Raw genomic sequence first — 14674 nt, 5'->3', positions numbered from 1 at the left:
TTTAATCTCAGCCAAACTTATTTTTTTTCTTGGGGAGAGAGGAGAAAGCTCACAAAGACCATGCCTCATAAGCCATTTCCTGAAAAATAACTGAAATTCTCCTTAAGAAAATAGGTTACCTCAGTTTCCATGGGAATGGTTTCTAATGCCAAAATTTTACTGCCGACAACAAAAAGTGACAATGACAGAGAGACCAAAATGAGTGTAGCTATAGAGACTGCTTGTTTCATTATCACACCCTATTCTAATTGTTTCTTTACATGTCAGACATCACTCCCTATTATATTTTGAGGACAGGAACTAACTTATTCAGTTTGTATCCACATTATTTAACACAGTGTCTAGCAGGAAGCAAATGATTCATAAAAATTGGTAGATAAAATTGAATATTACATTACCTACTAGAGTGGTTCTCAAACAATCTGCAGATTGATAGTCCTAGAATCATCTGAGGAGAAATGAAAATATAGGTTCTCTATATCATAGAGATTGTCAAGTATAAGAACTGATGGGGCGCAGATATTTGCATTTCTTTAAAGCCCTTTAGGGGCTTCTGATATACACCAAAGTTTAGAACCACTACCTAGCCTTATATACAAATTTACAGGCAATATGCTAGATTCACATTTGCCAAAAGCCAACCTTGAATTAACACCCCTCTATGCAAAAGCATAGAAAGAACTTATTTTGCTAATGATGGGCCTATTAATGTGGCCAAATCTGGGCCAGAGGCAATCAAGGATATAAGAATGAGGAGTTTTATCCCCATAAAATGTAAAATTCTATTAGAAAACCAAGGATATTTTTAAGATTCAGGTTGGTCTGGGATAGTTTGGGGGACCGGTAAGGAGCTAAGGCAGCTTCTGACAATAACTGTGCTAAAGGGGGGAGATTAGAGTGGCATTAATTTGCATCAAGGACAATGTATAACTGTGGCAGGAAAGGAAGAATGGCACTGGTTACTACTGAATACAGGACTCTCTGCCAGACACCAACCAGCCCTTTGCTCATTGAGCATCAGTGGTCTTGGCATGGACACTGAGGCATGGCCAGCAACATGGTTCACAGGTTTTTCTGTTGTGCTTTTAGCAGGATAAAGAATATGGCTCTAACTTTTGGTTTTGAAGGTATAAGAATGTGACTATAAAGCCACAGCAGAAAGTGAGGGAAACCTGAGGAAAAAAAAATACTTAGTGGCTAAAAAGAACTAAATTATGAAGCTCATATTAGACAAACCCATAATAATCTTAAGTAGCTGGAACTAGAGAAAGATCATATTGTCATTACAGTCCTATGCTTACTCACAGACTAGTGTAGTGTGGCAAATAATACATTAGTTTTATAATAATGAAACACTGAGAATAACAAATGAATGTAGAGAAAATAACAGATCACTATGTGACATGATGCAGTCTCCACATTTATGAGTTCATACCCAGAAGATATGGGTAAAAATTAAAATCATGTGAACCTAATAAAAAATAAAAGTAGAAAGAAAAGAGAAGACAAAGGAAGAGTCAGAACTGCTTTATTAACAACTGGATAGGCATTCAATACCCTAGTGCCTAATCTAGAATCTTTCTTTTAAGTTAATAACCCACGGATAAAACATGAATCAACAAATATCCTGGGCTCTGAACATGAGGGCAGCAGGGGCAGTGTATTATCCAAACAACCTACGTTATTCCATTCTCTTTAGTATCTTCTATGTGCCAGGTGCTGTTAGGCACTGGAGATGCTATTACAACAAAGCAAAGCAGTCTGGGCATGATGTCTCATGACTTAATCCCAGCAATTTGAGAGTCCAAGGTGGGAGGATTGCTTGAGCCCAGGAGCTCAAGGCTACAGTGGGTTATGATCACGCCACTTCACTTCAGCCTGGGTGACAGAGCAAGATCCTGTTGCTAAAACAAAACAAAGTACCTTCTTTATTTTTCACCATAGCACTCAGCACTAGTTGATACTTAATTACAAATTTATTTTTAAAGTTCTGTAATATTTATTCCACATATGAACATAGTTCATGAAGTAAAGGGCTTGTCCTTGTCACCACTCTATGCCCAATGCCCTTTATAGGCCCCACTCATTAACTATTTGTGGAATAAATGAATAAATGAATTAATAATTGACTGAGTGAATAATATTGGCCATTAAATGATTAAACAGAAAAGTAGTTTCTTTTGAACTATTATCTTGGAAGGTATACTTTTTCAAGTGTATAATGTAGAAAAAGCAATGTTGTGGGACCCTATATATTCTTTCTGCTCTCACTGAAAATACAAAGTGACTCTTCTCCCCAAAACTGAATATAAACTGCCTCAACTGGAAACAGTGTATTAGTCAGTGTATTCTAGGCTGAATGTGGCAAAAAAACAAACCCCACAATTTCAGTAACATAGCACAATGTGATTTCTTTTTCATATTACTGTCCTTTGAGTGGCTCTTCTATAAGCTGTAACTTGGAGATCTAGGCTGTTACCATACTGTGGCTCTACCATCTTGAACTTTTTGTTTTCAAGGCTTTAAAATTGGGATAGAAGAGCAGGAAAGATATCTGGAGCATGTTGTGGCCAGGACTCGAAGGGATATACATTATTTCCACCCATATTCCATTTGCAGTCTCACTGAGTTGTAAGAGGGCTACAAAACATAGTCATTTTGTATGCCAAGAAAGAAAATGAAGCGGTTTGGTGAACACATGGCATTGTCTCAATGTTACACTTTCAACATTAGGTTTAAAATAAAAATACTATTTCTAGTAATAGTCAACAAGTATAGAAAATACGGATAGGAAGCAAAATAATCTATGGAAATCCCTCAATAAATATCTAAGAATCAGATATTCATTCATTCATTCATTTTATATCTGAACTTATTACTATGTACCACTATTCTCAGTCTCTTAGAGCTTACAGTCTAGACAGGAGGACAAATGAACCATTAAATGAAGATGAGTGCTTTGATAAAGTACAGCATATTATAGGAGATCTATAATAATATTTGAAATATAATTACTAATATTTTGAGCATTAGGTACTTTATAGATATTATTGCATTTATTTCTTTACAATGTGAGGAGATACCATTACTATTGTTGTTTATGGTTAAAACAGCCACTCGCTCAAGGTCTCACAATAATTAATGCACTTTAAGTACCTGAATAAGCAATGATTAACGTTGTTCATGAAAGTTACTAAAACAAGAACTGGTAGTTTTACCCCAGATGAGATAATGTAGAATGAAAAGAATGTAAAATCTCCAGAAGAAAGCCCACATGAGATGAGCATAGAGGTTGCTCCACGAGCACACAGAGGTTCTCACTAGATTCCTAGGGAAGAAAAACCAGAGGTGACAGCAGAACCACTCCACAACCCTAGTCCACTGCATAAGCTCTTAGAGTAAAGCTCCGAGTTCCCATTCCAGAGGGTGGGTCTTGCCTTTTTAAATATTTTTGTTGTTGTTGTCTTTTCATAGTCCCAACTGAAAAAAAAAAGTCTTCTCACTTACTGGAATACTCTCCCCACCCCCATGCCCCACATGTTGAAAAGTAGGCGGTCCCTTCCAAATTTGTCCCTTATGCCTGGTGCTAAGATGAATCATGTTCTCGCAATGTGGTTACATATTCATATAAACACATAAGAAAATATTTATGAGTGTATACAGTCCGTATCCATGAAAATGAAAATTTTTATGCTCAACTTAAGCCATTTATTGTTTTGGTAATTGATGTAGGAATTGGTAAACAATGAAATTTATATTTATGATATGCCTAATATAAAAGTAATTATATTTCCACAATGAAAAAGCAAAGCAAACGACCAGAGTGTTGCCTACCTTTAATATGATTTACTCCTCTCCTCAACATTTCTGTCAGAATTCAAATTCCTAGGCAATACATATTTTCCACTGAGGCAAAAAAAAAAAAAAAAAATCAGTAATTGCTCTGAAAATTAGAGAAGCCAGCTAGGATAGAGTACTTAACTTGGATATTTTCCACTGTGATAACATGGAAATAACAGAATGCATAAGAATGGTATAATGAGGTAGGATAAAAATTCCATCCTTGAGCCAAAGTCACATTTTTCTCTCCACAGGATGAATTAAAGAGGTGGATTGAGCAAGAAATTCACCTGGTGAGCACATTGCTTTTGCAGATGTAAGTGGCACACAGCTGGCTTTAAAAGCTATGATTTGCTTACCCATATGTGGTATTACATGAAATAAAGAGAAGCTGAAACTAGGGAGGGGAAATGCAATTTTTAGCACAGCCTCACTGTCAGCAATGGAAATTGCTTTTTTAAAACTGGGAGTAGCTTTGATAAAAACATCCTCCGACATTCTCAACATTGCCTTGGGATGAATTCTTCCAGAAACCATAGAACACTCCCTCTTTATTTTGCAGTTTTATAGCATTTTATTGTCTACTTTCATTTAATGTTGTGAAGCTCTTGCACTGCCCTCTGCTGTTTTCTGAGCTGCATAACCAGGGTGTTCACAAGTAAAATACTGAGTTCATTTAATTCTCTCTCGATAGATAGATGATAGATAGACAGATGATAGATAGATAGATGATAGATTGATAGATGATAGATAGATGATAGGTAGATAGATAGATAGATAGATAGATAGATAGATAGATAGATAGATAGATGATAGGTGTGTGTGTATATATATGTGTGTATATATATATATATATATGTTTAGCACATATTAGGCATCCAAGATAAAAGAGCAGTTTTTTAAAAAAGCAGTAAATGGTCAAAGCATAGATTTTACAGTTAGGCAAAATGAGTTCTGATCCTAGCCCCACCAACATTTTCAGTTGTAAGACTGTAGATAATTTAAATTCTCTCTGGCTCAAGGCTCAGTTTCCCTACATACAAAATAGGAATATTAATACTTATTTGCTTCATGTTACAAGGATAAGTCAGGCACGCTTAGTGCCTAAAACAGAGAAGACACCATGGTATGAAGCTATTATAATATAAATTAGTCATGCACTCTACAAGAAGATAAGGCAAGTGGGGAATCTGGCAATTATGTAACACAAGGAGGGATTGATTTGATGGCTATTGTAGAAAACCAGATAGTAAAGTAGGCTTAAATGAGAATTTCAGCCATGAAAATGATACTGCTTTAGTAACCAAGTGGAGACCATTCAATTAAGGGGACAGAGACTGGAAAAAGAAACAATAGCTAGGAGGGCTAGTGTTATACCTGGGGATGAAATGTAAGGTGGGCGTAACTATGGAGGCACCATTACTAAGAGGAAGGTAGACACAGTCAACAGTCATGGTGGAGGTTGAATATGAATAATTTTGTAATAGATTGGATACAGGACACAAAGGAAAGAAAATTGGATTCTGGATATGTTGGAAGGATGATAGAGGGCATATTCCATGGATGAACAGGAGTCAGAATTAGCAAACAAAGGAGATAGCATGGGTGTGGGGGGAGGGAGGAAATTCATAGTTACTTGGCATCAACTAATAGAAATAATTTTCCTTTATTCCTCACAATAATTCTGCAATGTATACTTTATTATTCCCATATTTGAGATGAGAAAATTGGGTCCCAGAAAAGTAAGTATCTTGTTAATGACACTTAATGACACCCATCAGAACATAAAGAAGCTAGGATTCAAACAATTTTATGTACTTTCCAAATTCTAGGCCCTTTCCACTATGGCTTTACAGAATCAGTGCAAAAGAAGCAGTGTATAAAGAGGTCCTGGTTCCATGGAGGAGGTCCTCAGCACGTATGGTACTTCCATGCATGATATTGTTTTCTTTAGGTATAAAAAGATGACACCTATCTGTCCTGTTTATACTCTTTATACACAAGACCACTCATGAATATTCTCATGATATTTACTGTTGATGAGTATTTCACTTTTGTTGATGGTGAAAATGCACACTGATTTCACAGTTGATTTAAGATTTCTTCTAATGCCCATTTGCTGTTTTGGGATTCTCTACTGAAACTATATTATGTGTTTAATTTCCTGAGAGATACTATAAGAACACTTCAGCTGAATGGCAAAGGAGAAAATTGTGCCCGGTATCACTGCTCATCTGCTACCAGGTGAGCAGGTCTAAATAGCATTGAAGAACACCGTTTCCTTCTCTCTTTCACCAAAGTCTTGTTTGAAGAGTAGTCTCATACAGGCCTCACTAGAATTTCATAATCCAGAGTGACTTCTAAGAAAAAATTTTCAAACTTAAAGACAATGGAAAGTCAAAGATGTGCATGAGCCCTAAAGAAACCACCTATCAAGAAGAGACATAGACTCAAACTAGGCTCCCACCAACTCCAAAGTCCTAGAAGCTTTCTAAAGTCTCCTGTCTTCATAATCCCTTCATTCTAACATTTTTATTAGGTGAGAATTAATATTTGTTACTCTTTCAAAGCTGTGTTAGTTTGGATTTGCTGAGGAGAAGCCAAGACAGAACTAGATATACAAAAATTTATTGGGGGAGAAAGAAAGAGGAGATAGAGAGAGCTTTTGGACCACGACACTTGTCCAACATCTGTGAAAGAAGAGAAGGAAAAAGGACTATGGTAGAAAAATTGCTGGTAAGGAGTCATCATCATGCCCAGATACCCACTAGAGAAGGTTTCTATCTCTAGATTAGACCCACTTTGTTCAGTCATTGGCATGAATGTCGTAGTTGATCAGAAGGGCATCAGCTAAGATCATCACTCAATTCTGCTACCTGCAGCTAGAGATCTTAGCAGCATGTTTTCACGACAGTTTCGAATTCTATCCCCAGAGATCTATATTGAAATATTAGAGGAAATTATAGAGTAATAATTAAACGTAGAGTTTGGAGACAAACTTCCTAAGTTCAATTCTTAACTTCATCACTTGGCTGGATAAAGACAAAGATTCCTGATATCACTATTCAACAGTGTATTGAAGACCTTGGCAAAAGCAATATAGAAAATAAATGTAAAGAATGGGGAGGAAAAAGTAAAATCTGTTATAATTCACAAATAACAGGATTGTAGATATAGAACATCTAAAAGAATCCACAAATTATTAGAACTAATCTGTAAATTTTAGCAAGGTTGTTGAATAGAAGGTCAATATGCAAAAAATCAACTGTACTGTACTACTATAGCCAACAACAAAAATTTTAAAAATAAAATGTTATTGAGCTAATGCTTAAGGTAATATCAAAAACATTACATTTCTAGAGAAAAAATCTAACTAAGGAAATTAAAACTTAAAACTGCAATGAAAATTATTAAATTACTAGAAAAATTTAAGAAAATATAATGAAAAATGCTATATTCATCAACTATAATACTCAGTACTACAAAGATATAAATTATCCCCAATTGACCTATAGATTTCACTAAGTCTGAATCAAAACTCCAGTAGCAATTTTGGGTGAATTGATACCCTAAATCTAAAATGTGTATGGACATACCCCAGATAAATAATCAACATCTACAGTCTCTTTATTTATGACATTAAAGTGCAATGGAGAAAATATTTTTTTCAATAAATGGTGTTTGGTTGATTGGATATCAATATTTTATTTTATTTTTCTCACCTTTACTTATAATTAATTTTATTTTTAATTGATAAATCATAATTGCATACATTTGTGGACTGCAATATAATGTTTTATATATTGTATATATGTATATAATGTGGAATGATTGAATCAAGCTAATTAACCAATCCACCACTTAACTTACCTATCATTTTTTATTCTAAGACATTTAAAATTTACTCTCTGAATTATTTTAAAATATACATTATTATTGACTAGAGTCACCCTACAGTGCACAAGATCTAAAAGATTATTCCTCCTGTCTATCTGAAACTTTGTAATCTTTGATCAACAACAGATCCATATCTTGGTTATTGTGAATAATGCTGAAATAAGTATGGCAGTATAAGTATCCCTTCAACATATTGATTTCAACTCCTTTGAATATATACCCAGAAGTGGGATGACTGGACCATATGGTAGTTCTATTTTTAATTTTTTGAGGAACCCCCATACCATTTCCCACAATGGTTGTATTAATTTACATTCCCACCAGCAACCTGCAAGGGTTCCCCCTTTTCTCCTCATCTTCACTAATGCTTATCTTTTATCTTTTTGATAAAAGGTATTTTTAACAGATGTAAGGTGATATCTCTTTGTGGATTTAATTTGCATTTCCCTAACGATTATGGATGCTGAGCATTTTTTAATTTATTTTATTTTATTTTATTATTTTATATATATATTTTATTATACTTTAAGTTCTAGGGTACATGTGCACAACGTGCAGGTTTGTTACATATGTATACATATGCCATGTTGGTGTGCTGCACCCATTAACTCATCATTTACATTAGGTATACCTCCTAATGCTATCCCTCCCCTCTCCCCCGACCCCACAACAGGCCCCGGTGTGTGATGTTCCCCTTCCTGTAAGCCATTTCTATGTCTTTAAAAGGTATCTGTTCAGGTCCTTTGCCCATTTTTTAATTGAGTTATTTGTTTTCTTGATACTGAATTGTTTCGGTGCTTTATATATTTGGGGTATTATCAGATGTATGGCTTGCAAATATTTTCTCCCATTCTGTGATTTTCTCTTCACTTTATTGTTTCCTTTGTTGTTGATATCAGTATTTTAATAAGTGAAACAATGGTACTTCACACAATATGAACAATGTGCAATAACTGATTCTAGATAGGTCATAGATCATAATGCAAATGGTGAAAAAATAGAAGTAAACATAAAAAAATTTCTCTATGAACAAGGAGTAGGGAAAGATTCATTTAACAGGACCAAGAAGCATTCACATAAAGAATATTGTCGAATTGGACTTAATTATATTTGTAACTTCTGTTCATCAAAAAGTAACACAAAGAAAATAAAAAGGGAAACCACAGATTGAGATATCTGTCATATGTAGACCTGACAAAGAACTATTATGCAGAGTATATATATATATATATATATATATATACACACACACACACATATATATATATATATACACACACATATATATACACACACACACACACCCCTATACACTGGCAAATCAATAAGAAAGAAAAGTAAACATATTCAATTTTAAACCAAATTTATAACAGAGAGTTAAGAAAGAAATATAATACAAATTGAGTCAACTGATCTTTGACAAAGAAGCAAAAACAATTCAATGGAAAAAGGATATTTTTTTCCATAAATGGTGCCAGGACAACTGGATGTCCACATGCAAAACAAAATCTAGACACAGACTTTATTCCCATTGCAGAAAATTAATTCAAAATGGATTATAGTCTTAAATGTAAATGCAAAGTTATGAAACTCCCAGAACATAACATAGGAGAAAATCTAGATGACTTTGGGTTGGGTTTGGTGATTACTTTTTAGATACAACACCAGTGGCATAATCCATGAATGAAATAATTGATAAGTTGAACCTCATCACTAAATAATAACAACTTCTGCTCTGCAAAAAATACTGTCAAGAGAATGAGAAAACAAGCCAGAGACTGAAAGAAAATATTTGCAAAAGACATATTTGATGAGGGACTGTTATCCAAAATATGCAAAGAAGCCTTAAGTTTTAACCCAATAATAAGAAAACAAATATTAAAACTGGGTAAAATATCTGAATAGATACCTTATCAAAGAAGATATACAGATAACAAGTAAGCATATGAAAAGATGCTCAACATCATATATTACTAAGGGATTGCAAATTGACACAACCATGAGATATTATTACGTACCTGTTAGACTGTCAAAAATTGAAAACATTGACACCAGGTGCTAATGAGAATGTGGAGGAACAGGAACTCTCATTTTTTGTGGGAATACAAAGTTGCACAACTATGATGGAAGACAATCTGGAGGTTCTTACAAAACTAATCATATTTTTACTATGCGATTCAGTAATTGTGTTCAAATTATTTGTGGAAATGAGTTGAAAACTTACATCCATACACAAGTCACACATAAATGTTTATAGCAGCCTCATTCATAATTGCCAAAACTTGGAAGTAAACAATACGTCCTTTAGAGGGTGAATGGATAAATAATCTGGGACACATTCATGCAACAGAATATTATCTAGCATTAAAAGTTCTGAGCTATCAAACCACAAAGAGTTGTGAAACAACCTTAAATGCATATTACTAAATGAAAGAAGCAAATCTGAAAAGGCTAAATACTATTAAGTAAAATGAAATAAAAGATTCCAACCATATGATATCCTAGAAAAGGTAAAACTATGGAGACAGTAATCAGTGATTTCCAGGGTTAGAGGGCAGGGAGGAATGAATAGGTATAGCACAGGGGATTTTTAGGGCAGTGAAACTTTTCTGATACCATAATAGTGGATATATATCACTACACATTTGTCAAAACCCATAGAACGTAAATTAAGAGTGAACGCTAATGTAAACTTTGGACTTTAATTTATAATGACATGTCAGTGTTGGTATCAGTTGTAACAAATGTACTACCCAGGTGCAGGATGTTGATGGTGGGGGAGGCTGTGCGTATGTGAGACGAGAAAGCATATGGGAACTATTCATACTTTCCACTCAATTGTTGTGTACCTAAAATTGCTCTAAAAATATAGTCTATAGGAAAAAATCCAATTTAAAAATGGACAAAAAGCTGAATAGTCTCTTCATGGGAAACGGAAAAGGGTATTTCAATGGCCAATATGCATATGATAATGTATTCAATGGCTTACTACTAAATGCACACCAGAATGGCAAAAATGAATGACAAACAAGTGTCAGTGAAGACAGCAGGTAAATAGAACTCTCAGATACTGTTGGTAGAAATGTAAATTCATACAACCAATTTGGTAAAGTATTAACCACTATATTATAAAGCTGAGCCTATGACTCTGGAGTTCTGTTCTTTGATGTATATATATCCAACAAAAATATGTACATATATTCACTAAAATACAGGTAGCATTATTTGTAATAGTCAACGGTGGAAACAATAATCAGTATCAGTAATAGAATGGTTAATATGGGGTATGTTCATTCAGTGGAATGTAATGAAAATAGGTAAACCATTGCTACGCAGAAGTCATGGAAAAAATTCACAGAATGTTAGGCAACAAAAATGCAGCATATATTATATGCTTCTACTTATATAAATTTCAAAAACAGTCAACCCTAATTCATGGTGTTAGCAGTTAGAATATTTGTTAGCCACAGGGAAAATGTAGTAGCTAGGAGAGAGAATAAAGCATTTTTCCAGGATATTGATAATGTTCCATTATATTTTGTGGAAAATCATTTATCTACATACTTATGACACACTACTTTTCTATATTTATATTTTTATAAAATTATACTTTAAAATATGCAAGCTTTTTATGGACTAATTTATGCTTTTAACTGGAAAGCACTAAAAAGAATTTTAAACATAGGTATATGACTGTGTGCATGTGTATTTGTATTTGTGTGTACACCACAAACTTCTGGGTCAAGTTCAAAATCTTATCACGTAACATATATTTGAGAATTTGTTTTGTAGCTGTAGTCTTTTTCACATGAAGCCTCACTTCTTACCTTAGTTGAGTCAGTCTAGCTCTGATTCCTGCTTTAAGGGAACTGGTGGCAGACGGTAGGGAGGGGTTGTTGGGAATGGATCACAGTCTGTTGCTCTGGAATCTAGGCATTTCACAGCTTGTCCTGGAGGCAATCAGAATATACAATGACATGCTTTGACAAACAGACTAACAACAAACTTGAATCATGTTTAGACCCTCAGGTGAAATCAACTAAACATAAAAATAATTTTCTCAAATTTGTTTGCTTTAATTTTTACATATTACATATTAAACCCAGTGTTTGCATCCAGATTAAAGTTTGAAACAAATGGAATAGTTTGTACATAAAATATGGCTATAAAAATATTTTAACATTTTGCATGACATACTAAAACACAACATAATGCTATGTGTGATATAAAAAATTCAATTGCATAAGATGCAGGATTAAATATTGCACTGCAAATGAAAAAATATGGTTTTCATTTGGTCTGAACATAATGCACAAATGTACAATGATAGTTATTCCATACACAAACACCAGACTAAGTCCCATATGATGATAAGGTTGTCACTTTCAACCCCCTCTTTCCTCTTCCAATCCCAGAATATAAGTCTATTTCTATTAAAAATTCGCTTGGGCAGAGGACAGAAGCAATTGTGTTCTATCCTTGCTTGAGTTATCACTTTCCTGCTCCAATTTATGTGGGCATCTTCTTAATGTCACACATTAGTTGATAATACAAATAGGAGCTATTTTAGCTTAGAAACACCGAACTAAAAACAAGAATAAAGAAACAAATTTAGTATGGCCAGAAAAGCCAAAGGCCACAGTAAGGAAAAGTCACGGACCCCTGATGAGAAATGTGTGTAGACTCTGAAATGATTTTTTTTTTATTTGACAAAAAGAATTTCTTAAAATTTGAATTAAGAATGAAAATGGACATGAATATCTGCATCACAAACATAAGACCTATATTAGTTTTGTTTAAGTCTGTTCCAGTGATTCTGAGCCATTTTCACGATGAGTCACAGTGGATGATATCCGTGTGTCTGACATTGTGGGCATATACAGATATTTTCACAGAACTGTGAAAGCTTTTGAAAGGAAGTACAGTAAACAGCCCCACAAAAATATTTTCTCTTTAATGAGGTGCTCATAAAAAAGATTTGTTGTGAGCATGTGAATAATAAAATCAGTCCCAACTAAGTATTTACTTTAAAAGGCTAGATAATATTATGACTAAACTAAATAGTATTAATTTTAAAAACATCTTATATGTTTCCAGACTTCTATTCTACAGGTAATATTAAGATGAACAATATTACATAATTTAAGCATAAGTATGAATATAATTTATTTTATTGTAAGAGTTATAATGGGTTTTATAAATTAGACACATTATAATGAATTTTAGAATTTTCTGACTTTTAACATATCTATAGAACTTTTGTAAGTGTTAGCTTAGTTGAGTTGCTTTGATTGGCAACAGGCATACCCTTTTGTGAATGTGGTAATAAAATAATACTGCTCATCTCCTTCATTTGTATATACTGAAGAGATGGCTCTGCAGGAATGCAGCTGATCATTTGGGCTGTGTTGTGTAGATGGGATGTCTCCAACTGAAGAAAACATAAGGGAATACAAACAAACAATTACAATGTTATTATTGGGATACTCTTGAAAGAACCCTAAAGTTATTTTTTTCAGTTCAAAACTTCACAAATACTTGAATATAGTAAAAACGAGGACTACAGACCTAAAATATACTTTTTCAACAATAGCACTCCACCTGCTGCTGTGATTTATCCAATAACTATAAAATTATTGCATTTTCCAAAATGATTTGATACTTGTGTTAATGCAGACCTGTTTACAGGATACAGATGCACTATAGTAGAGTAAGCAGAGCAGTAATTTGGGGTGAGTGAGCCGGGTTCTTATTCAGGCTCTCAAGGAATACTGACCAAGAAACTATGAGTGCTCATTTAATTTCTCTGAATCTCAGTTTTCTAATATTTAAGTTTAGGATAATAATACTCACCACATGAGTGTTAGGAAGATTAAATGAGATAGATGTTAAACGCTTATCCCAGTGCCTGGAGTATAATAAGTCATCTGAAAAGTAGTAGCTGACCTTGTGATTTGGTTGATGAGAGAGCAGATGATCATTCAGCAGACAGCAGTAAAGGACAGTTTGCCACAAAAATATAAGTGATGATGATAGTGACATTTAAAATGGTTTGTTTTATGGTTTTGCTCCCTAGATTCTGATACCAGAATAAGATAACAGGATAAGGCAGTAGAAAAAGTGAATCAAGAGCAAGTTCTCAGCTAGAAAGTCACGGCAGTCTGTTTTTTGTGGGAATCTCTGGAGCACAAACAGTTCCAGTCTTGGTTTCACCTTTGGGCCAGGGAGTGGCCTTTGTTACCATCTAGGCAGTTAGACATTGGTGACAGCATACAGACCTGAAGAAGGTAGGAATGAAACAGGCCTTCCTGTCTTGTGGGAGGTAATTCTCCTGAGAAGGAGGCAACACTCAAAGCAGCTGGGATGGTACACCAGCCAGAAGAGAGGATGGGGGCAGGGTACCAACAATTATGTCCCCAACAACTAGCATCCTTCCTCAGTTGGATCTATTCAGTAGCAGGGAAATCCTGTGCTAGGAGTATATGGCCTAGTTGTGTGTCTATCCTCCAAATTAAATTATCCCTTTTTTGTTTATTCTCATTCTCTCTCTCTCTCTCTCTCTCTCTCTCTCTCTCTCTCTCTCTCTCCCTCACTCCTTATCATTTTAGCCCTGATCTGGATCACCTTTCATTTTCATTTCTGTTGCCACATTCTTTGTCACATAATGTCTTAGTCCATTTGTGTTGCTGTAAAAGAATACTTGAAGCTGGGTAATTCATAAAGAAAAGAAGTTTATTGGCTCATGGTTTTTCAGGCTTGACAAGAAGCATAGCACTAACATCTGCTTCTGTTGAGGGCTTCAGGCTGCTTCCACTCATGCTGGAAGGTGAACAGGAGCTGACGTGCACAGATCACATGGTGAGAGAGGAAGCAAGAGAAAGAGGAAAGAGGTGCCAGGCTCATTTTAACAACAGCTCTTGTGGGAACCAATAGAATG

The 14674-nt window shown here is 34.6% G+C and overlaps 1 protein-coding gene and 1 long non-coding RNA gene across 4 annotated transcripts in view; one reads left to right on the top strand and one right to left on the bottom strand.

The window, feature by feature from the left end:
• The window catches only part of LOC107984361 (uncharacterized), a 552293-nt gene that overhangs the window by 29143 nt on the left and 508476 nt on the right, over positions 1 to 14674 (bottom strand). The window contains exons 6-7 of one of the 2 annotated variants that reach the window (XR_002957260.2): positions 13045 to 13168; positions 11565 to 11687 (exon numbers count right to left, since the gene is read on the bottom strand). This is a non-coding gene — a long non-coding RNA (uncharacterized LOC107984361). The remainder of the gene's footprint in view (positions 1 to 11564; positions 11688 to 13044; positions 13169 to 14674) is intronic. The other variant, XR_002957261.2, reaches the window with a different exon arrangement.
• The window catches only part of RAB38 (RAB38, member RAS oncogene family), a 371729-nt gene that overhangs the window by 292541 nt on the left and 64514 nt on the right, over positions 1 to 14674 (top strand). The gene's annotated exons all lie outside the window — the stretch shown is intronic.

This window comes from Homo sapiens, chromosome 11, assembly GCF_000001405.40.
Source record: "Homo sapiens chromosome 11, GRCh38.p14 Primary Assembly".
NCBI lineage: Eukaryota > Metazoa > Chordata > Mammalia > Primates > Hominidae > Homo > Homo sapiens.
Note: the sequence above shows the minus strand (reverse complement) of the source record. Positions and strands in the feature narration are given on the sequence as shown.